The sequence below is a fragment of the Homo sapiens genome, chromosome 7 (genome assembly GCF_000001405.40).
Source record: "Homo sapiens chromosome 7, GRCh38.p14 Primary Assembly".
NCBI lineage: Eukaryota > Metazoa > Chordata > Mammalia > Primates > Hominidae > Homo > Homo sapiens.
This window is the reverse complement of record NC_000007.14, coordinates 57,310,362-57,338,050: the sequence shown is the minus strand read 5'-3', so window position 1 is coordinate 57,338,050 and position 27,689 is coordinate 57,310,362.

The window sequence follows — 27,689 nt, the reverse complement described above, 5'->3', positions numbered from 1 at the left end:
GAAGAAGACTGCCTAGAAAAATGGAGCACTTTTGCACAAACAACCTCAATGTCACCAATGGACCTTGGCCACTGTGGGACAGTCTCCAAGGTTTGGCCAGCCAGCTTCCCAGGGCCCTGACCTGAGACAGGGTTTGCGCCCTGGTCACTCTGTCCCTCTCCCACCCGACCCTCTAAAGGGCTGACTGTCTCGGTGGGAGGGGTGTCCTTGGAGCCTCTGAGTCTGACCTTCATGTTCTGCAGGAAGCCAGGGGAGAGGACCCAATGGAGTAGACCCCACCACATCCTTTAGGCTCAGACCAGGCCTCACCCCCTCCAGAAAGCTGCCTTGGCCACTTTCCTGGCATCTATGGACTCCTCACCCTAATTGAATCTCATATCATGCTTGGCTGAAATTCTCTACTGGACTGTTTATTCCACTGGACTGTGCTCCAAGTGGTTAAGGCCAAGTATTTTCTGTCTTGGTGTCCCCAGAGCCCAGGTCTGGCCTATGAGGGTCATCAGCAAATATGCACTGAATGAACAAAGGATTATTGAACAACTGCTTCCTGCCTTGGTGCATGCTGACCTCTGTCTCTCTCACCAGGATGGGGTCCCAAGGACCTTGTCTCTTTTATCTTTGCTCCTCAGTGTCTAACACTGCTTGACACATTGGTGGCACCATGAAACATGTGTGGAATAAATGAACAAGGCCTTCCTACCATCCATCATATCTACCTCTCCTCCTGGACTGGGAGCTCTATGAGGTCAGGGAGCAAGCCTTACTTATTTCTAGCTCCTCTGAATCTAGCACTGGACCTGGTACAAAGGAGATGCTTGGTAGGTACTTACTGGATGGATGGATGGATGGATGGATGGATGGATGGATGGATGGATGGAATTGAAACTGATGGATCAATGGAGGAATGAATGGATGGTTGGACAGAGTGAATGAATAGAATGGGCAGATGAAAGTGCAGGTGGGTGGATGGGTGGCAGATGGGTGGATGAAAGGCTGAATAGATAAATACTACAGTCCAGGTTGTGAATGTGGGAAATACTGCTTTCCCCCCTACCCCCCACACACAAAAGCCACCATTTTAGAAGAGCTAAAATGAGGTCAGAGAATGACTCAGCTAGAGTTTTTATGAGAGATGTTTAAAATTAAAAAAAAATGAGAAAGATGGGTCTCAGAGGCTCTGAACTTCTTAAGCAAAACCCTATAAGCTGGCCATGCTTTCTTGCAGCTTTTATGTGATAGTTATGGAGGGCCTGCCATATTTAGTGCCCCTGGGTTTGGCCTAGAAGTAGAAAGAAATTTCAGATGTGGACCCTAACCCCAGGTTGCTCAGCGTCAGGCATATGCCCATTCATCCTCAGTGCGTCTTCTTGTTGGGGTGTCCAAATAACAAAGGTTTGGGAAACAAACACAGATTTGTATCCTGACTTCTTTTCTGTGTGACCTCAAGCAAGTAGCTTGGCTTCTCTGAACCCTGGTTTGCTCATCCTGCTTTGCAGGGTTGTTGCAAGCACACAACCTGCCCATGCTTATTAAATGCTGAGCCCAGGCTGGGATTGCCATCGGTGATTGGTAAACACTAAACTGGGCCTCAGTGTGTGATGCTGTTGACTTGCTGTGTGATGCTGTCAGAATGTCGGGAATTTTCTGTTCCTTCATTTCAGCTCAGTGACATTCATCCTTAACAAGGGCCATGAACTAAAGAAGAGCTCAAGCTGGGGAACCCAGTAGACCTGGGTTTGGGATCCTTTGCTCCCCGGCTGCATGGTTTCAGACAAGCCACTGTGCCTGTCTGAACCTCAATTCCTGCATCTACACTGCAGACCTCCTTGCTGTTTCTCAAGCACAGCTATCACCCCTGCACCCAAGCACTCCTTTGGCAAGAGAGCCGAAGAAAGTGAGTTCCTGGCATCCACCTTGGGGAGGTGTGGGCCCCTAAAGGTGGTGCTGCCCACACAGGTCTGCCTCGAGGCACTCCAGAGTAAAGAGGTGTGCAGAGGGATCTGGAAGGGCAAACAGAAGACATCTGGCTTCTCATCCTGTCTGGAAGAGGACCCCCATTCCATGTGGTCCCACTAGCCTACTGATTTATGTTTCCAACAGTTTATACCACATGGCTTCATAGAACATGTTTATTCAGCGGGGTGTGGTGGCTCACACCTGGAATCCCAACACTTTGGGAGGCCAGGGCAGATTGCTCGAGGCCAGGAGTTCGAGACCAGCCTGGGCAACATGGCAAAACCCCATTTCTACTAAAATTACAAAAATTAGTCAGGCATGGGGGCACATGCCTGTAATCCCAGCTACTCAGGAGGCTGAGACAAGAGAATTGCTTGAACCCAGAAGGTGGAGGTTGCAGTGAGCTGAGATTGCACCACTGCACCCCAGCCTGGTTGACAGAGCAAGACTCTGTCTCAAAACAACAACAACAAAAGAACATGTGTATTCATTTTTTTTTCTAGTCTATCCCCCCACCTGATACTCCTGTGTGCTCCATGAGAGGAGAGTTTCTGTGTGTTTTTGTTTTTGTTTTTTTTTTGACATGGAGTCTCACTTGGTCGCCCAGGCTGGAGTGCAATGGCATGGTCTCAGCTCACTGCAACCTCTGCCTCCCGGGTTCAAGTGATTCTCCAGCCTCAGCCTCCTGAGTAGCTGGGATTACAGGTGCATGCCACGACACCTGGCTAATTTTTGTATTTTTAGTAGAGATGGGGTTTCACTATGTTGGCCAGGCTGGTCTCAAACTCCTGACCTTGTAATCCACCCCCCTTGGTCTCCAAAAGTGCTGGGATTACAGGCATAAGCCACTGCACCAGGCCTACGTTTCTGTGCGTCTTGATTGCTTTTCCATCCTCGGGTTCTAAAGCCCAGACAGGCACATGGTCTTTGTTAAGTAAATGTGTTGAATAAATGGATGTATGAATGGATTAGCACATAAAGAAATGAATGCATGAATGGATAGGTGCATGAATAGCTGGGCCTAGCAGAATCAGCTAAGAGGCTTAACCACACACACACACACACACACACACAAACACACACAGAGACACAAACACACACACCTACATATGCATACAGAGGTGCTCCAGCCCTGCTCCAAAAATAAAAATAAGAATCAACCCTTAATGATCACTTACTCATTAAGTATACCAACCCCCATGTTTAGCCTGTGATGTAGGGCATTTCACTGAATCCTCATGACCACCCTCTGCGGTAGGGACTAATGCTATACTTTTTTCATATGTCAACCCTGAGGCTCAGACAGGTAAAGTCACTGATCCCAGGTCACACAGCCAAGAGGTGGAGGAGCCAAAATTGAATCCAAGATCTGATTCCAGAACCATGCCTGACCTTACTAGGCCAGCGGGGTCGCCTCCGAATCTAGATTTTTAGGGTTCCCCAGGGGATTCTGATGCATAGCCAGGTTGAGAACTCCTCGGCCAGAGCACTGAGGTTTGGGGGAGTCTGCTGGCTTTGGGACAGCTGATCCAGCCCCTGTGCTGCCTCGCAGCCTGGTTCCTTATCTCTGACATGGGCGTGATGGCAGCGCCTACCTCAGGGGATTTCAGGAGAACCTAATGAGTTAATCCACGCAACATGTGAAGCAGAACACAGTAAGCACTTCTCACAGCTCCCCTGTGTGCAGACAGATGCATTTCCAACCTCCTAGTGCAGTGCCTGGGACAAGCTGGAAAGGGCATCTCATCAGCATTCAAGAGGCTACTGCATCTAAGAGTGAACAGGGATGCTGGAGCAGTTCTGTCCCCCAGAAAAACATCTTGCAGAAATACTCGCACATGTCCACAGACGTGTGTACCCTACAGACCATGACAACATGGCTCATGATAGCAAAAGCCAGGAAGCAGGCCCAATAGACATGTTTAGGGCAGGGGTCTCCACTTCAGCAAGGCGGACATTTGGGGTCACATAATTCCCTGTTGTGGGGGCTGTCCTTGGCATTGTGGGATGTTTAGCAGAATCCCTGGCTTCTACCATCTAGATGCAGTAGCATGCCCCTACTCCAAGTTGTGACGACAAAATATGTTTCCAACATTGCTGAATGTACCCTGGAGGAAAAAAACAATCACCCCATCCAAGTGGAGAAGTATGTGACATGCCCAAGATGATGGAGCTCATATTTCAGCAAACCTGTGACTTTATACTGCACGAAGTCCCAGGTCACAGTTTTCCTATTTGCTTTTTGTGTGTTACTTAGACTTTGCTCCATTCACAATCATGTGTTCTATGACTAGAAATAATTTCATTTCTTCTTTTCCCATCTGGCTGCCTTGGCATGTTTGAGGACAGAACTTGCACAACACAAATTGTAGCTCAAGTGGATTATGTAACTGCACAGGGATGCTTTTACGGGAATTTAACTTTGTTCAAATATTGAAAATTTGTAAAATGGAGAATAAAAAGAAGAAAATGAATTTTTTTAATGGGATCACCCACAGAGGGCAATTTTCTAGCAGTTTGCTCCTCTGAGTAGCTTTCTCCATTTTGAAATTTTATTATAAAGGTGTGATCACACTGTGTGTACAATTTCAAATCCTGCTAGTTTCAAAGTCTTCAAAATCATACTTCTCATGTTATTACAAAATTTTCTTTGACGTTCTCTTCAACTGTTGTATTTTTTTCTCTCTCATCCTCTGATCTTCCCTAATCCTTAATAATGAAAATTGCAGGCTGAGCGTGGTGGCTCACACCTGTAATCCCAGCACTTTGGGAGGCTGGAGAAAGCGGATCACCTGAGGTTGGGAGTTTGAGACCAGCCTGACCAACATGGAGAAACCCCATCTCTACAAAAAATACAAAAAAAGCCGGGCATGATGGTGCATGCCTGTAATCCCAGATACTTGAGAGGCTGAGGCAGGAGAATTGCTTGAACCCAGGAAATGGAGGTTGTAGTGAGCCAAGATTGCACCATTGTACTCCTGCTGGGCAACAAGGGCAAAACTCTGTCTCTAAATAAATAAATAATGGAAATTGCAAGCTTTCATTGGGCATGTGACCACCCAGAAGAAAATCTACACTTCCCAGCCTCTCTTGCAGCTAGGTGTCCATGTGGCCAATGGGATATAAGTAACTTCCAAGTAATGTCCTTAGGAAGGGGTGCCTCTACTTTTTCCCATCCTCCTTGCTGGCTGGAGTGCAGATGTGATGGCCAGAACCTGAGTGGCCATCTTGGGACAAAGTGGAGCAACAAGAGAGAAGGACCCTGAGTCCCCAGTGAATTTGTGCAGCCACACTACTAGTCCTAGACTGCCACCTCCATGCATCTTTTATGTAACAAACAAACTTCTGGCTGGGCACAGAGGCTCATGCCTGTAATCCCAGTACTTTGAGAGGCTGAGGCAGGTGGATCATGAGGTCAGGAGTTCGAGACCAGCCTGGCCAACATGATGAAACTCCGTCTCTACAAAAAATACAAAAATTAGTCAGGAGTGGTGGCGGGGGCCTGTAATCCCAGCTACTTGGGAGGCTAAGGCAGGACAACCACTTGAACCTGGGAGGCAGAGGTTGCAGTGAGCCAAGATAGTGCCATTGCACTCCAGCCTGGGTGACAGAGCAAGACTCTGTCTCAAAAAAAAAATTTCATTTGAGCCCCTGTTATTTTGGCTTTTCTGACTCTCAAAGGTGAACCTAATCCTAAGTATTACACTAATATTTTGTGCAGAAGGTGTCTCTAACATCCTTTTAGGAATCATTTCCTGATTTTTTTTTTTTGAGATGGAGTCTCACTCTGCTGCCCAGGCTGGAGTACAGCAGTGTGATCTCAGCTCACTGCAATCTCTGCCTCCTGGGTTCAAGCAATTCTCCTGCCTCAGCCTCTGGAGTAGCTGGGATTACAAGCACCTGCCACCATGCCTGGCTAATTTTTGTATTTTTAGTGGCACTTCCTTAGAGAGATGTGAGCTATTAAGGTAGAAAATTCCCTAAAGGGTGACCACAGGGTGTGGGCCAGAAAGTAGGGCAAAAGTCAGCTCCTCTGGCAAAGACAGCTGGGCTTGTGGGAAGAATCCAGAAAGGCTTCTAGCATCACCTTCTCCATTTCTCCTCCACTGAGGGCAACAGAACAGCAGGGAGAAGTAAATGACAAAAGTGTCATTCCCATTTGTGTCACCCTTGGGGTTCAACCAGCTCTGCAGAGGCTAAGTTAGAGTGGAGACCTTTTGATCTGTCCTCACTTCACTGACCTGAGGCCAGCAAGTCAACGTGGATGTCGCTATCTGATGGATGTGTGTCTCCTGGACCCCTGACCACATCCTTCAAGGAGACATTTGTGAAGGATGTGTTTGCTTTGTCCACTGTTGTACTGAACGGCACCAGCATCCAAATAAGCCCTGGCACACAGTAGGTGCTCAACAGATAAATCTTGAATGAATGAATGATGGCATTGGACTCTCAGCCTTGGAAGTAACCTTGGAGTCTGGAGTTAACATGGATTGACTCAACCAGTATTTCCTGAGCACCAACCATGCTCCAGGCCCTATTTTAGGTGCTGGGGATACTGCAGGAAAGAAAAGAGAGTCCCAAGTCCCTGTCCTCAGAGTGAAGGAGATGGGCAATCCATTTTAAAACCCCAAAATATTAATATAACACAGCACAACACAGCATAACATCATATAATCTGATCTAATACAATACCAAGTAAAATGTTTTACAAGGAAATGTAAAACTGGGTAAGAGACTTGGAGATGCTAATTTAGAAAAATAATTGAGGAAGACCTCTCTGAGAAGGTGATGCTCAAGCAGAGATCTGAAGTAGTAAGGGAGTGAGCTGAGCAAATATCAGAGGGAAGTGTATTCTGGGTGGAGAGAACAGCCAGCGCAAAGGCCCTGAGGCAGGAATGAATGAGCTTGGCACATGCCCTTTGTGGTGAGGTGGCCAGGGAGGCAAGGGTTACACCAAGTTTCCCAACTTCAGCAAATCTACAGAACCCTTAACTGGTGGAAACGGGAGATAGGAGAGATGAGCTCTTCACTCTTAAGCCTCTCTGGGCAAACGTGATGTCAGGGACAGACAGTAAATCTTGACTTGTCCCAGAAAACAATGGGCCCATGTAACCAGTGAAGTGTAAGCCTCAAAGTAATTGGCCGAAGGGCTGGGGCATGGGTGGGTCATATGGAATTTGTTAACAGATCTGCATTAGAAAAAGAGCTTCCCACTTGGGGGCAGCAGAAGCTTCTGGCTAACATCAAAAAGATGTTTATTGTGGTGATTCTGTGCAGACATGAAAAATGGAGACTCACCACACAGAGATGTGGAAAGATATCCCCAATACATTAAGTGAAAAGGTAGGTCACAGGACAGTATTACATACTGTACATTCCCCTTTGAAAATTCACTAGTCATTCATTCAGAAAATATTCATTATGGACCTACTGTGGTGTGGAAGACCCAGACGCAGTCAAGCCTGCCTCTTGGAACTGACCACACAGTGGAGAAGGCAGATAACGATCAGATCAGTACACAAATATATCATCCAAACCTTTGATCAGCACTAAGGAAAGATACCTGAAGCTACTAAGGAAAGATACCTGATGCTAACAGAAAGTGAACATATATCAAGTGATGGAAAAAGCCTGTGAGGATGTGCTCCAAAATGTCAAAGGGGTAGTAAGGTTTCAGATGATTCCACTTTCCTTTTTTGTTTATTTGTGTGTTTGTTTTTTTGGATGGGGTCTCACTCTGTCACCCAGGCTGGAGTGCAGTGGCATGATCATGGCTCCTTGGGCTCAAGCCATCCTCCCACCTTAGCCTGCTGAGTAGCTGGGACCACAGGCGTGCACCACCACACCTGGCTAATTTTTTGTTTTTGTTTTTTTAATTTTGTAGAGACGAAGGTCTTGCTATGTTGCCCAGGCTGGTCTTGAACCCCTGGGCTCAAGTAATCCTCCTGTAAAGTGCTGGGATTACAGGTGTGTGTCACCACACCTGGCTTGATTCCACTTTTCTTATGCTCCTCTTTCTTTTGATTGTCTGTAGGTTCTGATTTTTTAAAATAATGTCATGATTTATAATCGAGTGAATAAAAAAAAAACCTCAAAATGAGTAAGAGCAGGACAGCTGCAACTCATGGGTCTGCAGAGGACTTAGACCCAGGGAAGGAAGAAAACACAAGAAACTGATCAACAGAGGCTCGAGTGGGAGGTTGCCTCACTTCTCCATGGACACCTTTTGAACCTTTTGAATGTGTAAGTATTCAAATAATAGTAATAAGCAAAAGTATTTTTAAATGAAACTTTGAGTCAAGTTTTATTTTCATGAAAAATGAAAAAGCAGACAACAGTAGGATCTCAATATAAATACATGAGCTGAGCTGAATTCCCATGGACATCTTAGAATGGTTCTCTCGGGGTCACCTTTTTAGTTTTCTTCTTGTACTTTTCTGTGTCTCCTATATTTAAAATAAGAATAAAAAAAGACAAGAAAGAAAGGCTACTGAATATAGAGCATTTACCACAACAGGCAAGATCTCATTCTGGGTGCTTTACAAACATGCTTTTGCTTCATCTCCACAACCTTCTCATTCCTTACTTTCATTTGGCAGATGAGGAAACTGAGGGTCAGAGAGCAAAGCCACTGGCCAGGGTCACCCGGCTGGATTGGACCCGCATCAGTCAGATCCTAAAGTCTGTTTTTAAACTAGGAAGCTCAAATACCCTTCCAATGTCCTTCAAGGAAACTACTTTGCTTTGAAAATCAGGGGGAAGAAACAAACAAACCAAACAAGAAATATGACTTTTTTTAACCACTTATTTAAGCTCTGATGGGACTTGAGACCAGCTGGGCTTGGAGAGGGTTTCTCAGCAGGGCACTGTTTGTGTTGTGGGTGGGGCTGTCCTGCCTGGCAGTCCCCCATGGCACATCCCTGCCTGCTCGTCAGCCATGCTCCCTTGTCATTGTGACATCCAGATCCCCCCATCTCTGCCAGCCTCCCCTCCTTGAAGACTGCTGGCCTAGACACTGCAGTGACACCAAATTCCTACTGGGGCCTCGCTCCTGCTGTGCTGTGAGCCACTGTGGGTAGATGCCCCCTCCGGACCTGAGAAGCAGGTGCCTCAATGGCCTTGTTTTACAAGGAGACTCAGAGAGGCTGGGTGACTTGCCTGGGTCACACAGCCAAGACTTGGCCCCATGCTATACTGTCTACCCTCTGGGACCAAGTCTTTGTGGTTGTGGGGTCAAAGTGGGGGAAGGGAAAAGATGAGTGGCCTGCAGCCCCAGGCTCACAGGGAAGGCAGCCACCAAGCGCTGTCCACTCTCCAGCCAGCTGAGGCCAGGCTGGGAGAAGCGAAGCTTTGCTACCAGCCTGGGCAGGCCAGGCCTGGCGGCAGGCATGCGGCCACTACAGTGGGACTGGGAAGCCGAGCACTCCCTCCCGCCTGCCCGGCAGCATCCCATGGCCACCCGCCAGGCCCTGCCTGACATCTGGGTCTGACCAGGGACATAACGTGCTGGCATGGGGACAAGGGCTGACTGCAGAGAGACAGAGCCACAAGGCAGGATGGCCAGGGGAGGCGGGCAGGCAGAGGAGAGAGAGAAAGGGAGAGAGAAACAGGCAGAGTGAGAGAGAGAGAGAGCGAGAGACAGGGGGTGAGAAAGAGAAACACAGAGACGGAGAGAGAAGAAAACAGAGGGAGGGAGAGAGACAGAGAAAGTTAAAAGAGAAACAGACAGAAAAGAGACACAGAGAAGGAGAAAAATACAACTAGGAAGACGACTGAGCCAGCTGCCTGCCTGGGTGGGGGCAGCCGTGCCTGCATGTCCTCCATTTGTGCAGGGGCACACACGCCAGAGGCCTCAGGTAGCACTTGCAGAGGTGAGGATGCAAACAGCCCTTTCTCTAGCTCCCACTATTCCCAGAAGCCTTCATCAGCCTCAGCCTCAGCCTCAGCCTCCAAATTCCCACTGTGTGCCAAGCATGCTTCTGAGCACTTCACAGGATTAATCTACTCAATCCTCCTGACAGCCCCAAGAGATGAAGTGCTATCATTATCTCATTTTACAGATGAAGATGCTGAGGCTCAGAGAGCTGGAGTCACTGGTCCAAGGCCATCTGCTAAGGAGTGGCAGGGCCAGGCAGCCACTTAACCATGGAGCAGCTACGATTCCCTGCACAACTTGAGCACCAGCCTGTGCCGGGTTTTACCACAAGCACCCGGATCATCCGAGCAGGCAGTGGTTCTTGGCTAGGGGTGATTTTGCCCCCACAGGGGACATTAGGCTATATGTGGGGACATTTGGGGTTATCACAACTGGGGAGAAGGTACTGGCATCTGATGGGTGGAGGCCAGGGATGCTGCTCAATGCCCTACAGTGCACCGGACAACCCGCACAGCAGAGAATTATCCAGCCCCAAATGTCAGTAGCACCGAAGTTGAGAACCTTCTATAAGGTAAGTTCTGTTACAATCTCCATGTTATAGATGTGGAAACTGAGGCACAGAGAGAGGGTGCCACTTGCACAAGAAGCTCACTTCATGCCCCTGCTCTTCCATAAGACCCCACTGCCAATCTGCATTAAGACACCCCTGCCTCCATTCTAGGCCTTCTGAGTCCTCACTTGCTCAGTACAGATGATGCTTCGCCTCCTCTCAATATACGAAGGTAGTCTTAGTCATTGACAGAAAAGAAGATCAAGCCACAAAGTCACTGGGAATGTACGAATGCCTTAAAATGAATTTGTATTTTATTCACTGCAGCATTGAGGAACATTTGAAAGAAACCATACATGGATTCATGGGGCAAGTATTTCCTGAGCACCTACTATGTACCAGGCCCTGTCCTTGGTGCTGGAGATACAACCGAGAACCAGACAGACCCAGCCCCTCCTGGGTCTTTAGGAGGTGACAGTCTGGTGAGGAAGGCAGATGATAGACAAGAAAACAAACACACATCCAAGGTTACTTTTGACTGTGTGAAATATAATTGTGGGGCAGGAGAAGGGCTTCTAGGGAGGGTGATGTCCAACAGGGCCTCTCTGAGAAGATGAGACCCAAAGGAAGAGAAAGGTCCAGTCTTACGAAGAGGCAGGAATGAAAAGTTCCAGGCAATAGGGTTTGTGCAGTGGCTCACGCCTGTAATGGCAACACTTTGGGAGGCTGAGGCAGATGGATCACCTGAGGTCAGGACTTCGAGACCTGCCTGGCCAACATGGTGAAATCCCCTCTCCACTAAAAATACAAAAATTAGCCAGGCATGGTGGCACACACTTGTAATCCCAGCTACTTGGGAGGCTGAAGCAGGAGAATCGCTTGAACCTGGGAGGCAGAGGTTGCAGTGAGCTGAGATTGCGCCACTGCACTCCAGCCTGGGTGACACAGCAAGGCTCTGTCTCAAAAAAAAAGAAAGGAAAAGGAAAAGGAAAAGGAAAGGAAAGGGGAAAGGAAAGGGTAATAGGAAAGAGAAGAGAACAAGAAGAGAAGGGAAGGGAAGGGAAGGGAGAGGAAAAAAAGAAAAGAAGGCCTGGCACGGTGGCTCACGCCTGTAATCCCAGCACTTTGGGAGGTCAAGGCAGGCGGATCACAAGGTCAGGAGTTTGAAACCAGCCTGGCCAACAATAGTGAAACCCATCTCTACTAAAAATGCAAAAATTAGCTGGGCGTGGTGGTGTGCACCTGTAGTCCCAGCTACTTGGGAGGCTGAGGCAGGAGAATCACTTGAACCTGGGAGGCAGAGGTTGCAGTGAGCTGAGACTGCACCACTGCACTCCAGCCTGGGCAACAGAGCAAAACTCTGTCTCAAAAAGAAAAAAGAAAAAGAAAAGAAATGAAATGAAATGAAAAGTTCCTGGTATAGGGAACAGCATGTGCCAAGGCCCTCACGCAGGTGCTTGCCTGGAGTGTTGAAGTACAACCAAGAGGCCAGTAACTGGAACCAAGTGAGGCAGGAGAGGAGAAGATGAGATGGGCAGTCACAGGAGAAGAGATGTGTGGTACCATGTGACCACTGTAAGGGCTTTGCATGTGGGAAGTGGGAGCCATGGCAGGGTTTTGAGGAGAGGAGGCACAGGGTCTGATTCACGCTCTAACAGGAGCCTCTTGGATGCTTTGGTTAGCTGAATAGTGGCCCTTCAAAGATGTTCATGTCTTAATCCCCCGAATCTGTGAGTGTTACTTTATATGGCAAAAGGAACTTGGCAGCTGTGATTCAGTGAAGGCTCTGAAGATGGGATGGTTATCTTGGATCACCCAGGTGGGGCCAATTAATCACAGGAGTCCTTATACCACCGAGGCAGATGGAGACCTGCCCACAGAGGAGGAGAAGGCAAAGAGGAGAGAGAATGACAGAAAGAGACTGCAGTGATGTGCTTTGAGAGTGGAGGGCGGGGCCATAAGCCAAGGGTCATGTACAGCCACTAGAAGCTGAAACAAACAAGCAGACAGATTCTCTCCTGGAGCCTCCAGAAGGAAGTGGTCCCACCAACACTTTGACTTCTCACCTCCAGAACTGTAAGAGAATAAATGTGTGTTGTTTTCAGCCACTAAGTTAGTGGCCATTTGTTTTGGTGGCAAGAGGAACTGAGTGAGATGTGGTGGGGAGGATAGACTGTAGGAGGGTGAGGGTGGGAGCAGGGGGACCCATGGGGAGAGGCTACTGTGATTGTCCAGGCAGAAAAGAATGGCAGATGAAGAGAAGTGGATGCCTCACTTGACCATCTCTGGTCTGGTGCCCAGGACATGGAGCTGGCCACCGTGTGGTTCTTGTTTTGAAGAAGACTCCAGCTACAGGAGGCCCAAGAACAGTTCTGGGAAATGGGAAGGATGGGCTTAGCTGGGCTAGAACCTCATGTCGGTCAGGTCTCTGACCCAGTGTCCTCATGCAGGGCGGTGTCCTGACCACCCCAGCCTGAGGAGCCCTCCCATGGCTCCTGCTCCCTCACTCGGCTTCAGTTTACTGTGCGTGTTCCATCATCATCCTGTGTGCTACACCTCTGTCTGTTTCTTCATTGTCTGGCCCCAAATGAGGAAGGACTTTGCCCATCCTGCTTTATCTGGGGAAACAGCCCCTGATATTTCAATGTACGTCCTTTTCTATTTTCCCTAAGTGTCGGCTGGTCTGAGAAATAAAGGGAGAGTACGAAAGAGATAAATTTTAAAGCTGGGTGTCCAGGGGAGACATCACACATCAGCAGGTTCCATGATGCTCCCTGATCCACAAAACCAGCAAGTTTTTATTAGCAATTTTCAAAGAGGAGGGACTGTATGATTAGGGTGTGGGTCACAGAGATCACATGCTTCAAGGGCAAAAAAAGATCACAAGGCAGAAGGTCAGGGCAAGATCACAAGGTCAGGGTGAAACTAGAATTACTAATGAAGTTCCATGTCCCACTGTGCACGCATTGTCATTGATAAACATCTTAACATGGTTCAAGAGCAGAGAACCGGTCTGACTGGAATTCACCAGGCTGGAATTTCTGAATACTAGCAAGCCTGGGGGTGCTGCAGGAGGCCAGGGCATGTTTCATCCCTTATATGCAACTGCATAAGGCAGACACCCCCAGAGCGGCCATTTTAGAGCCCCCGCCCCCTGAGGAATGCATTCTTTTCCCAGAGCAGTTAATTATTAATATTCTTTACTGGGGAAAGAATTCAGCGATATTGGCCAGGCATGGTGGCTCACGCCTGTAATCCCAACACTTTGGGAGGCCAAGGTGGGCGGATCATGAGGTCAGGAGATTGAGACCGTCCTGGCTAACACGGTGAAACCCCATCTCTAATAAAAATACAAAAAATTAGCTGGGCGTGGTGGTGGGCACCTGTAGTCCCAGCTACTCAGGAGACTGAGGCAGGAGAATGGTGTGAACCCAGGAGGCGGAGCTTGCAGTGAGCTGAGATCATGCCACTGCACTCCAGCCTGGGTGACAGAGCAGGACTCCATCTCAAAAAATAATAATAATAATAATAATAATAAAGGCATTCTAAGCCATAGGATGAGATAAGAGGTCAGCACAAGGTCATAAAGACCTTGCTGATAAAACAGGATGCAGTAAAGGAGCTAGCCAAACCCACCAAGACCAAAATGGCCACGAGAGTGACCTCTGGTTATCTTCACTGCTACACTCCACCAGCACAATGACAGTTTACAAATGCCATGGCAACGTCAGGAAGTTATGCTATATGGTCTAAAAGGGGGAGGCATGAATAATCCACCCCTTGTTTAGCATATCATCAAGAAATAACCATAAAAATGGGCAACCAGGCAGGGCACAGTGACTCATACCTGTAATCCCAGCACTTTGGGAGGCCAAGGGAGGCAGATCACCTGAAGTTGTGTGTTCGAGACCAGCCTGACGAACATGGAGAAACCCCGTCTCTACTTAAAATACAAAATTAGCTGGGCTTGGTGGCACATGCCTGTAATATCAGCTACTCGGGAGGCTGAGGCAGGAGAATCGCTTGAACCTGGGAGGCAGAGGTTACAGTGAGCTGAGATCATGCCATTGCACTCCAGCCTGGGCCACAGAGCAAGACTCCATCTCAAAAAATAAATTAATAAAATAAAGTCTACTTTTAAAAAATTCAGAAGGTCTGGCTACATGGCTCCCACATTTTTACAGGACCACAATGGCTGCAGTGAGTTCCAGGTGCCTCTGTAGATAAAGTGTGTGTGCCCCACACTGCCAGTCCCTGTGGGCACCTGTGTGATGACTCAGGCATGAAGGGAGAAGTTCCTGGTGAGAAAGAGAACAGGGTGAAAGTGTCGCCTGCAGGAGTGGCCAGTGAGGAGGAAAGAGGAGGGTGACACCCGCCTGTGTCAGCCCCTGCTCATCATCTCCCCAGCAGGAGCCTCCTGTGCACTTTCCACAGGGCAGAGTGAGCCACTCTTGATTCGCCCTTCCTCTGCCCAGGCCTGCTGTGGGCGGCTGCCTATCGAGGTACACAGCCCGTGAAGCAGCCACGCTCTGCCACTGAGGCTTGGCAGTTTGAATGGAGGCCAGCCTATGAGATTAGGCTGGGCAGGATGTGAAAAATCAGAAGCTGCCTGCCTAACTACTCCTGGGAAATTGTTCCCGAGACCATGCCCTTCCTGCGTCTACTTGTAGCATCACTCTTTCATTGACAAACATGTATTGAGTACTAGGCAAGTCCAAAGGAGGCCTTGAAGTAGATACAGCAGGACAGGCAAGTGGCTGGTTCAGTGGCCAGCTGCTGTTTGTACCTGACTACTATTCCTCCCCCATGTTCTGGTAGCAGCACCCTTCCACTACTATCACCACATGTGCCTCTCCAACTAGAGCAGGTGGATGAATTAGGCCTGGGAATCAGCATACTCCTTTCCCCCAGCCCCAGGGATTGGTCTGAGATAGACATGTGACCCCAGTCTGGCCAATCACAGTCAACCCCCAGATATGTGCTGAGGCTACATAGAAAGTCAGCTTCTGCTCACTTGGCTTGTCAATCTGGCAGAACGGAAGCTGGGGGATACTGGGGACTATTTTTGCCACCACATAAGGTGACCCTAACGGACATGGAGGAAAACAGAGCTGAGAAGTGGAAACAACATTATTCCTAAACAACACGTGCATACCTGAATCCAGCCATTCCTGAAGTTGAAACCATCTGGACTTTTCATTTACATAAACCAAAACATTCACAGAAACACACACTATTTTTTTTAAGTCACTTTGAGTTGGGTTTGTTTCTGTCACTTTCAACCAAAAGACCCTTACTATACAAGTGGATGTGTATAGTTGTTTCCAGGCTGGAAAACAAATAGCTATGGCAAAAGCAGACCACGAGACATTCATGTAAAACCTGGGAGTTGATGGCCGGGTGCGGTGGCTCACACCTGTAATCCCAGTACTTTGGGAGGCTGAGGCAGGTGGATCACTTGAGGTCAGGAGTTCAAGGCCAGCCTGGGCAACATGGCAAAACACTGTCTCTACTAAAAATACAAAAATTAGCTGGGTGTGGTGGCATGCACCTGTAATCCCAGCTACTGGAGAGGCTGAGGCACAAGAATGGAGAATTGCCTCCCTCTGAACTTTTTATTTGGTGCTATAAATAAACCCTTTTGGGTCTGAGCCACAGTCAGGTGGATTTCCAGTTACTTTCAGCCAAATGCATTTCTACCTGTAACACCTACTCAGGACCATAAGTTGCTCTGGATTCCCACGATACACATGGAGATACTGAAGTCTGCAATGCAGAGAAAACTTCTGCAGTGTCATGGGGTGGAGTCATGAGCTACTGACTCACAACCCAGTGCTCTTTCCACTCAAGACAACCTCATGGTCCATTCCTTTCATTCAGGCTGCTGTATACATGGCCAACAGCTGCTTTGTAAATTAAACACTTCCCATGGAGGCAGTGATGAAGATGACCTTGCCCCTGAATCTTTCCAGCCTCTTATATAAATCGCCCCAGGTCACTGTCTCCATGCCTTTGGACCCAGGACAGCTTCCCTACATCCTTTAAAATGATGAGATAACCAAATGTAAACCCAGTGCTCCTGGAAAGGTGTGAGTCATGCATTATGGAACAGAAGGTTCACAGCCAGGAGTCTGCCTATCATACTTGTCACCCAGCCTTCCAGGCTTGTGTGGAGCTTGTTCACTGAAAAACTGATTCATCTGCAGCTTGTGGCCAGCTCTGACACTCAGATCATTTTCTGCTCATCTTGTGCCTGGCTAGTCACCTTTAATTAGGTGCTGTCAACTTCCTGTCTTCCTGTCTCTGTCCATGTTGTCTTTCCCCCTATTTTTTTTTTTTTTTTTTTTTTTTGAGACGGAGTCTTGCTCTGTCACCCAGGCTGGAGTGCAGTGGCGCAATCTTGGCTCACTGCAAACTCCACCTCCTGGGTTCACACCATTCTCCTGCCTCAGCCTCCCAAGTACGTGGCACTACAGGCACCCACCACCATGCCCGGCTAATTTTTTGTATTTTTAGTAGAGATGAGATTTCACTGTGTTAGTCAGGATTGTCTCAATCTCCTGGTCTCATGGTCCATCCGCCTCAGCCTCCCGAAGTGCTGGGATTACAGGTGTAAGCCACCGCGCCTGGCCTTTTTTTTTTTTTTTTTTTTGACAGAATCTCACTGTGTATCCCAGGCTGGAATGCAATGGCGTGATCTTGGCTCACTGCAACCTCCGCCTCCTGGGTTCAAGTGATTCTTGTGCTTCAGCCTCCCAAGTAGCTGGGACTACAGGCACACAGCCACCATGCCCAGCTAATTTTTGTATTTTGAGTAGAGACAGGGTTTCACCATGTTGGCCGGGCTGGTCTTGAACTCCTGACCTCAGTGATTTGTCTGCCTCGCCTCCCAAAGTGCGGGGATTACAGGTGTGAGCTACTATACCTGGCCTCAATTTTGTTTTGTTTTGAGACAGGGTCTCACTCTGTCACCCAGGCCAGAGTACAGCTATACAATCACAGCTCACTGCAGCCTCAACCTCCCTGGGCTCAGGTGATCCTCCTGCCTCAGCCTCCTGTGTAGCTGGGACTATAGGCATGTGCCACCACCCCTGGCCAATTTTTGTATTTTTTGTAGAGATGGAGTCTCCTTATGTTGCCCTGGCTGGCCTCAAACTGCTAGACTCAAGTGATCTGCCCGCCTCAGCCTTCCAAAGTGTTGAGATTATAGGCGTGAGACACCGTGCCTGGCCTTTCTTTCAAATTTTAAAAATCGTTTAAAAACATAAAAACCAGCCAGGCGTGGTGGCTCATGCCTGTAATCCCAGCACTTTGGGAGGCTGAGGTGGGTGGGTCACCTGAGTTCAGGAGTTCGAGACCAGCCTGACCAACATGGTGAAACCCCGTCTCAACTAAATACAAAAAATTAGCCAGGCGTGGGGGTGCATGCCTGTAATCCCAGCTACTTGGGAGGCTGAGGCAGGAGAATCACTTGAACCCAGGAGGGGGAGGTTGTAGTGAGCCAAGATTGCGCCGTTGTACTCCAGCCTTGGTAACAAGAGTGAAACTCTGTCTCCAAAAAATAAAAAAAAAGTAAAAACCATTCGTAGCTTGCAGGCCATACAGAACAGTGAGACAGATTTGGCTTGAGGACTATAATTTGCCAATCCATCTATAAGCCACTGATGCAAAATGAAATTGTAGAGAAGGCGTCAGAGATCGATTTTGTTTCTGCCACTCATTAGTGCGTGACCTGTGCAAATGGCTTCTCCCTCCATCCCCACTATCCTCTTCTGTAAAATGGGTCTTTCTGCATAAGCTTTATAGGGCTGTTGTGAGGATCTGGGAAGCCTTGGGCAAAAAGCCTTTAGCACCATTCAGGGCTCTTAGAAGCTGTCCGTGTTAGGTGTTGCTATGAACCTTAAGAGGGAATGAGAGGATAGCTGGAAGAGAGTCAACCCTGCAGAGGCCAAGAAGGAAGAGAGAAACACATTTGTCCTAAGATGGGACAAGGCTGTTTTTTTCCAGGATTTTCAGTAAGAAAATGAAAGAGCATCCAAGCATCTCAGGGCACAGTCCAGGCTGCAAGCTTCTTGGCTGTCTGGCCTCTGCCCGTCTTTCCCACTCTCTGCTCCAGCCTATAGCTCCCTTCCCCACAGCTCTGTGAGCCCCTCAGCTGCCCCGGGACCCTCTGCTCCTCTGCTCCTCTGGGAATCCAGTCCCCTCTGGCTGGATGCCCCACCTTCTCCTGGAGTCTACAACTCAGCCCTCTGCAGCCAGCCCAGCTTCTGTGCGGAATTCCCTGGCAGCTGGTATGAGGGAGTGCCCGGCATCCCCTCCTCATCCTGTAACAGTGGATAAGGGCCAGCTGTTAGCATCACTGCTGTTATTACTATTACACAAACCCTTCCAATGGATCCACACCACCTAAGCAGCACCAGGAAGCCAGGGAAATGCCAGAAGCAATAACAGTCAGCAACTGTGTAGTACCTCCTGTGTACTGTGCTGCATTGCACATAGGTGCCATTCCAAGCCCTTCGTGCTATTAACTCATTTAATTGTCACAACGTATGAGGTGGGTACTGTGTTAACTCCATTTTACAGATAAGGAAACAGATTTAGAGTGGTTAAGTAACTAACCACTGGGAAAGCTAGATTCAAATTTGAGGGTTGGTTCTAAAACCCATTGTTTTAATTAATACCATACACTGCTGCCTTATGGCATTTTATCATTTGAAATAACAACATTTCATTTCCTGAACACTCACCTTGTGCCAGCTACTAGGCTCAGGATTACCTCTGCTCACCCCCAAAGACCCTATGAGTTCATTTAATTATTAAATAGTCCCATTTTACAGAAGATGGAACTGAGGCATAGAAAGATAATACCTCACACAGTGTGGCAAATTGTGTGTGTTTTTTTTTTTTAGATACAGCATCTTGCTATGTCACCCAGGCTGGAGTCCAGTGGCAAGATCATAGCCCACTGCAGCCTCCTGGGCTCCTGCCTCGGCCTCCCAAAATGCTGGAATTACAGGGAGTGCACCCAGCTGCACATCGTGTTTTCTTAAGATGCTCACAGCAGCATCTCTCATCCTCATGATCTATTTCTTCTTCTTCTTTTTTTTTGTTAAAAAACCCCAGCTTTATTGAGATATAATTCACATACCATAAAACTCACCCTTTTAAAGTACACAATCCAGTGGGTTTTGGTATATTCACACAGTTATGCAATCATCACCACTATCTAATTTTAAAACACTTGCATTGCCCCCAAAAGGAATCTCACACCTATTAGCAGTTACTCCCCCTTCCCACCATGTTGTGAGGAGACCCAAACCAGCCCAAATGAAGAGACCACACGGAGAAGTCACACACAGGTGTCTTCTGTGGCACCTGCTGCGCAGCTGCCAAACACACAAGTGAAGACTCTCTGACCAAGGCCAGCACCCCAGCCACCAAGTCACCCTCAGCCTCCAGGGTGTCCCAGCCAAGGCCCCAGACACTGTGGAGCAGAGACAAGCTGTCCTGCTGTGCCGTCTGCATTCCTGACCACAGGATCTGAGAGATATCATTCCAGGTGAGTAGAATGGCTGCTTTACACTGCTCTGCTCTAGGGTGGGTTTGTTATGCAGGAGGAGTAACCAAGCCACAGCTGGTAAGGGACAAGGCTCAGATTTGAACCCCAGTCCATCTGGCTTTGGGGCCATCCCTTAAACCACATGTAGGCTGGATGATCCCCTGGACGTGGAGGAGTCAGCACTCCCTTTCTTGTGCAATTGACTCAGTGCATCAGGGTGATGTGGCCTTTCTGTAGCTGACCTTCTGGAAGCACATAAACGGGGACAGAAATGCTTTCCTTTTGTTTTGTCAGTTTATTGCTGCTGCTGCTGCAGTTGTTGTTTAATACATATGAATTCTTGTTCTTATTTTTTGCTAGTTAGAGTAAGGCTGGGCGTGGTGGGTCTCACCTGTAACCCCAGCACCTTGGGAGGCCAAGGTGGGCAGATTGTTTGAATCCCACAGTTTGAGACCAGCCTGGGCAACGTAGTGAAACCCCATCTCTACAAAAAAAAAAAAAATTTAGCCAGGCACGGTTGCATGTGCCTGTAGTCCCAGCTACTTGGGAGGCTGAGGTGAGAGGATGGCTTGAGTCTGGGAGGCGGATGTTGTAGTGAGCCGAGGTTGCACCATTACACTCAAGTCTGGCTGACAGAGTGAGAGCTTACCTGAGAAGAAAAGAAAGAGAGAGAGAGGAAGAAAGAAAGAAAGAGAGAGAGAGAGAGAGAGAGAGAGAGAGAAAGAAAGAAAGAAAGAAAGAAAGAAAGAAAGAGAAAGAAAGAAAAAGAAGGAAAGAAAGAAAGAGAGAGAGAGGAAGAAAGGGGGGAAGAAAGGAAGCAGGAAAGGAGGAAAGGAAAAAAGGAAGAGAAAGAAGAAGGAAAGAAAGAAAGAAAAATTAAGAAAGAAAGAAGGAAAGAAAGGCAGGTGAAAAAGAAAGAAAGAGAGAGAAAGAAAGAAAGAGAGAAAGGAAGGAAGGAAGGAAGGAAGGAAGGAAGGAAGGAAGGAAGGAAGGAAGGAAGGAAGGAAGGAAAAGTTAGAATAAATAGATAAGGAAACACAAAAAAATCAACCTGCCATCCCCGCCAGGCAGGAAAAAACTCCACGTAACACTTGAGTCTTGTAGAATTGTATCTTCCAGGCATTTAATTCACACAATTTCACTGTGCATCAGCAGGCCAAAAAAGGGTGATGGGGAGAGTGGCCCTTTTTTTTTTCTTTTCTTTTTCTTTTTCTTTTTTTTTTTTTTTTTTTGAGACAGAGTCTTGCCCTGCTGGTCAGGCTGGAGTACAATGGTGCGACCTCAGTTTACTGCAACCTCTGCTTCCGGGGTTCAAGTGATTCTCTTGCCTCAGCCTCCAGAGTAGCTGGGATTACAGGTACACACCACCACGCCTGGCTAATTTTTGTATTTTTAGTAGAGATGGGGTTTCACCATGTTATCCAGGCATATCTCGAACTTCTGGCCTCAAGTTATCTGCCTGCCTCAGCCTACCAAAGTGCTAGGATTACAGGCGTGAGCCACCAAGCCTGGCTGAGAATGACAATCTTAATATGGCAAGTGAGTGTAGTTGGCAGATCCTATTTTTTGTTCAACATGGTCCCAAGCACAAGATGACCCCCCAGATCTGGAGGCTATTTTGATTTGCTAAGTGTTTGTAATGCACCACAGTTGAGAGGAAATTTAACATATTTTTCACGATCATTTTTGATTCTACATAAAAAAGACATTTTTTATCCCTTCCAAAATGGGATTGAGCTACACAGATGGTTTTGTACCTGACTTTTTCACGTAACAACGTACTTTGAACTGCTTTTGTGCAAGCAGCTTTCTCCTGGCCTTGTTCATGGGAAGGAAGCATTCTGGGAGTCCACCTGTGCTCTCGCAGCGTGGCAGTCAAAGTCTAACAGAACACCACAAGCTGTGCAGTCAGGATGCTGAATGAAAGAAGCCAGATGGGAAGAGCACACACTTTGTGCTTCCCTTTATAGAAAGTTCAAAACCAGCAAAAGTCATCTATGGAGTTAGAATTCAAGACAGCCGTTAACCTTGGGGGCGGTGGTGGGGAGGATTTACCAGGAGAGTCATCAAGGGGGCTTCTGGAATGTCCTGTGTACATCTGGGTGCTCATTCCACAAATGTGTCCACTTGGCGAGAATTCACTGAGCTCTTTGTGTATGATGTGTGCACTTTTCCTTGCAATTAAAACACACACAAAAAAGCACACGCAGATGCATGCAAGCACACACACACATACATAGACACACACAAACAGTGTTCATAGAGCACAGGCTGTGCTGTCTGGAAATACATGTTTAATGCTTTTGCCACATATGGGCAGAGGTGAAGGTTGAGAGGACTGGGTATGAAGTTGGGAACCCAGGTCCAAATCCTGGCTCAGCCACTGTTAAATGTGTGACCTTGGGCAAGTTACTTAACCTCTCTGAGCCTCAGTTTCCTCATCTGGACTCTGTACCAAGCCCACAAGACCACAGAAGCAGCCCCTGCTTGCATCTCCATCTGGCTCTTCCATTCTTCTCTGGCTGTCTCTCTAAGCCCACGCCACACTGGCCACCATTCTTGTTCCTATCACAGCGAAGCTCAATGTGGCCTCAGGGCTTTTGCCCTAGCTATTCCTGCTGTCTGGAGTTACCCTTTCCCTGATTTTCTTGTGGCTGGTTCCTTTTCCTCCTTCATGTCTCAGTTCAAAGGTTACCTTCTTAGAGAGGAGAGCCCCTCACTGACCACTCTCCACACCTGCCATCATCAATTCCATTCCCTGGCCTCAGTTTCTTCCAGTGCCTCTCGGGTTCTGAAATTGTCATATTTGCTTTTTGCATTGTTGTTGCTCTTTGCTTGTTATCTGCTTGGCACTCCCTCTAGACCCATGGGCTCTAGGAGATGAGGAATCGTGATTGTCTTGTTCATTGCTACATCTCCATCACCTAAAACAATATGTCTTTGTTGAATTAATCAATCAATCTATACAGTGATCTGATTCTACTTTATGGAATTCTCGGGAAGTTTTGAAAGTGTGTTTTAAACAGCCAGGTTTATAAGAATGAGGGAACTTTGAAAGCTGTTTGAATGTGGTTAACTCAGATAGCTGAGAAGAATCTAGATGAGATAGCACCTCATCTCTCTCAAGATGCTTCGTGAGCTGCGTCTTCCATAATTTCATCTACGCTGAAAGTCACTACACCTTTTGTGACCACCCGCCCCCCACCTCCACCTTTTGCTATTTGCATCTTTTGTTATTGGCCATTTGGCTGGAACAAAATCACTAATATTCTTATTAGTGTATTTATTTCTATGTTGTATTAACATGGTTTTGTTTCGTTTTGTTTTGATTTGTTTTGAGACAGAGTCTCACTCTGTTACCCAGGCTGGAGTGCAGTGGCGTGATCTTGGCTCACTGCAACCTCTGCCTCCCAGGTTCAAGAGATTCTCCTGCCTCAGCTTCCCGAGTAGCTGGGATTACAGGCATGTGCCACCAAGCCCTGCTAATTTTTGTATTTTTAGTAGAGATGGGGTTTCACCATGTTGGTTAGGCTGGTCTCAAACTCTTGACCTCAGGAAATCTGCCCGCGTTGGCCTCCCAAAGTCCTGGGATTACAGGTGTGAGCCACCATGCCCGGCGAACATGGTTTTAAGATGATCAAAAGGTACAAAGAGTGTACAAGGAGGAGTCTGTCTCCCTCTGACTCCTGCCCTAGAGCCAGTTAGTGTTTCTAGGTACCTAGTAAGTGCTTCCAGAAATGTTCTGTGTGGAAACAGGCATGTGGGCTACATCCTCATCTTTCCTGTTTACACAGAAAGGATCTAGTTCAAGACCCTGCTTTATATCTTTGCTTTTTCTTCTTTTTTCTTTATAATTGATCTTGGAGCTGTTTCCATATCACACATTGTATGTGTGTGTCTTAGTTGCACAGAAAGGTGTACTCATCAAGAGCTCAGAGAGTAACTGGTCTCTTTCTCTCTCTCTCTCTCTCTCTTCTTTTGAGATGAAGTTTTGCTCTTGTCACCCAGGCTGGAGTGCAGTGTCCTGATCTCGGCTCACTGCAACCTCCGCCTCCCAAGTTCAAGTGATTCTCCGACTTCAGCCTCCTGAGTAGCTGGCATTACAGGTGTGTACCACCACGCCCAGCTAATTTTTGTACTTTTAGTAGAGACAGGGTTTCACCATGTTGGCCAGGCTGGTCTCGAACTCCTGACCTCAGGTGATCTGCCTGCCTCCGCCTCCCAAAGTGCTGGGATTACTGGCATGAGCCACTGCATCTGGCCCCTTTTTCTTTTTCTTTTTCTTTTTCTTTTTCTTTTTTTTTTTTTTTTTGAGACGGGGTTTTGGTCTGTCACACAGGCTGGAGTGCAGTGGCACAGTCTTAGATCACTGCAGCCTCTAACTCCCAGGTTCAAGCAATCCTCCCACTTCAACCTCCTGAGTAGCTGCGACTACAGTCATTCTTTTTAAAAACCGTAGAACACTGATGGACACCTCGGGCAGCTCCAGTCTTTCGCTTCTGCAGGCAGTGATTTGGTGATGGTCCTTGCATGCACCTTTGGGCACAGGAAAATCACTGAGTCCTTTTGAATCTGGTGAAGTGGCCCGAGAGTTTACCCCTCCCCAACCTCATCTTCACCCCTTCAGCCCACCCCACCCTTGCTGGTGTTTGTGTCTTGGCCTTTTAAGGACTTTTTCAAAATTGACTTTGGCTTCTTGGCCTGAACTCTGAAGTGTCTGAGATGAAAAGATAGCAGGCTTGGCTGAGGGGGCTGGGGGCAAACAGTGAACCTGAGGCCCTCAGCCCCAGCGCAGGAGGGGCCACAGTCCCAAGTCTCTCCCGTCTCCAGCTGTGGGAGCAGGTGATGTGGCTGGAGGAGGAAGCTGAATTGTGTTGGGCTCCAGATGAGTTTGGGAACCAGAAGGAAGCGGGAAGCTGGCCCCACACAGACCCACTTCTCTTGGCCTTCGAGAACAGCACCAAGAGGCACAACATGGGTTCAGTATTTACTGGGGCCTCTCCTAAACCAAACAGGACACCACGGGCAAGTTGGAGCAAAGTCCTGGCAAACCTGAAGACACATCCCGTGGAGCCCCAAGGAGCCGAGGGTCACAGGAGGGGCCCTGCCTTCAAGGCCGTGGCAGACAGCACTGGCACCATCTCCACACAAAGTCACCGAGTGATGTTCAGTCGTCTGAGGCCGGGGATTGTAACTGCCCTGCTCTGATCTAGGCCACAGAAGTGAACAAATCAGTTCGGATTCCCACCCTCTAGAAATTTCTTCAGTTTAGGTGGGAAGAGAGAGGATAAACAGGCAAAAACTGGCCAGGGTGCAGGGGGCTACAGTGGAGAGTGGCCCGGCTGTGGGGGCAGAACAGGGGTACTGCCCAGCCTGGAGGGGGAAAGCCTCCCCAGTCATGCCTCGTCCCAGCTTAAAATGCTTTGGGGCCTCCCAGGGTTTCTCAGGGCTCCTGGGACCATGGCCTCTGCATGATCTTCCCTGACCACCTCTACCAGCAGGGTCAGTGGTGCCAGCTTGGCAACATTTGGTGCCCATGTCTACCTGGGGTCCCTGCATGGCTGCTCCCTCTGCTGGCAGTGCCCTCACCTCCCACCTCCCACTCGTCCTTCAGCTCTCAGCTGAGATGTCACCTTCTCCTCCAGGAAGCCTTCCTTGATGTCCCTGGATAGTCTTGGGGCTATCACATGCTCCTGTACATTCCTCATCCCTGCTTCAGTCACTCTGGATTGGGGTTACTTGTTTGTGGGTGGCCCAAGGTAGCCCAGCATGGCCAGAACCCAGCCCTGTGGCTGACCCTGCTGGATTCAAATGCTAGCTCCGCCTCTTAGCTGTGCAATCTTGGGCCTCAGTTTTCTCATCTGGAAAAAGGGCATAGTGATGGCACCTACCTCACAGGGTGGTTGTGAGGAAGAAGCAATTTAATACACGTACTTAGAATGACATCTGGCACCGAGTTTGCACTCAGTAAATGTTGGCTCTGCCATTATGCCTGTTTTCTCTCCCACAGAACATAGCAGGTGCTCACTTCACATTTGCATGCTAAATTAGTGCAGCCATTCAAATATGCTTGTGAAAATGAGCAATGAGGGGAAAGGCTTAGGTAATTCAGATGCTACTCGACTTGGGATGGGGCTGTGGCCTGATAAACCCACTGTAAGTTGAAAATATCATTTGGTCAAAATTGCATTTAGCACAGCCAACCTACTGAACATCATCATAGCTTAGCCTAGCCTCCCTTAAAGGTGCTTGAAACCTTTACACTTGCCTACATTGGGTAAAATCATCTAACACAAAGCCTATTTTATAATAAAGTGTTGAATATTTCATGTAAAATTATCGTACTCTGTATTGCTAGCCTGATAAAAGATTAAAATTCAAAATTCAAAGTATGATTTCTACCAAATGCCTATCTCTTTCATATCATCATAAACTCAAAAAATCCTAAAATGAACCATTGTAAGTCAAGGATCACCTGTAATGGAAATATTTTTTAAAACACAACAGTAAAGAGTGGAACAGTAATGATTTACAACTATGCAACACACACACACACACATACACACACAGTCCAATACCCTGGCTTGGGGGAAAGAAAGAAACAGACTGTTTAGTGTGGTTTTGTTAGAAGGATGGGACAAAAATTTTTTTTCTTTCTTGTTTGATGTGTGTTTTTTTCTAATCTTCTTTAATAAGCACAGTTTCAATTTAAATGGGAAAAAATAACAACGAATCTAGAGAAGGAACCTGCAAGCCCTCTCTGTTCCATAGAGTTTTCCCACAAACTGGGGCAGTGGGTGGGGTAGGTGGGGTGTGGCAGGGTGGTCAGAGAAAGAGCTGCCCTTTAGAAGTTAAGCAAGAGCTGGAAAACCAATGTGTGCCAGGTGGGGATAGGGTGTGAGCTTGACCAGGGGAAGTTGTGGCGACTAATAACAAAGCAACCCATTTCCTAACTCTGGGCATGGCAAGACATGCTGGATGCCCCCACTCCCCAGACCCCAAGATGGAGCTAGCAACCCTGCCTAACGCCACAGCCCTGTGTTTCCCTGCAGCATAACACGTGTCACACCGCAGCATCTGTAAAGAAAGGGCCTCGCCACATGCCCCTACTCGCATATGTTACCTCACCTCACCTGCCTAATCCTGAAGACCTGCCTGCAAGCAGTAAGGTACTACTGTTAGCCCCATTTCACAGAGGGGGAAACTGAGGCTCAAAAGGTGTAATAATTTGCCCAAGGTTGCCCAGCTGATCAATGACAGAGTCTGAACTTAATAGCATTTGGGCTGGATGTGGTGGCTGAGGCCTATAATCCCAACACTTTGGGAGGCCAGGTCAGAAGAATTACTTGAGTCCAGGAGTTCAAGACCAGCTTGAGCAACATAGTGAGATCTCATCTCTACAAAAATTAAAAAATTAGCTGGGCACTGTGGCATGCACCTGTATTCCCAGCTACTCAAGAGACTAAGGCAGAAGGATCTCTTGAGCCCTGGAGGTTGAGGCTGCCGTCAGTCATGATGGTGCCACTGCACTCCAATCTGGGTGACAGTGAGACTGTGACACACACACACACACACACACACATATTTTAACACCATTTGGTTTTATCCTTGTCCGTGGTGTCTGTGATTTGTCATCTTTTTTTCATTTTCACTAAAGTAGATGTTAACAAATGGAAGGCTGGAAGAATGGATGGATGGGATAAATGGGTGGATGGATGGATGGAAGGATGGATGGATGAATGGATGAG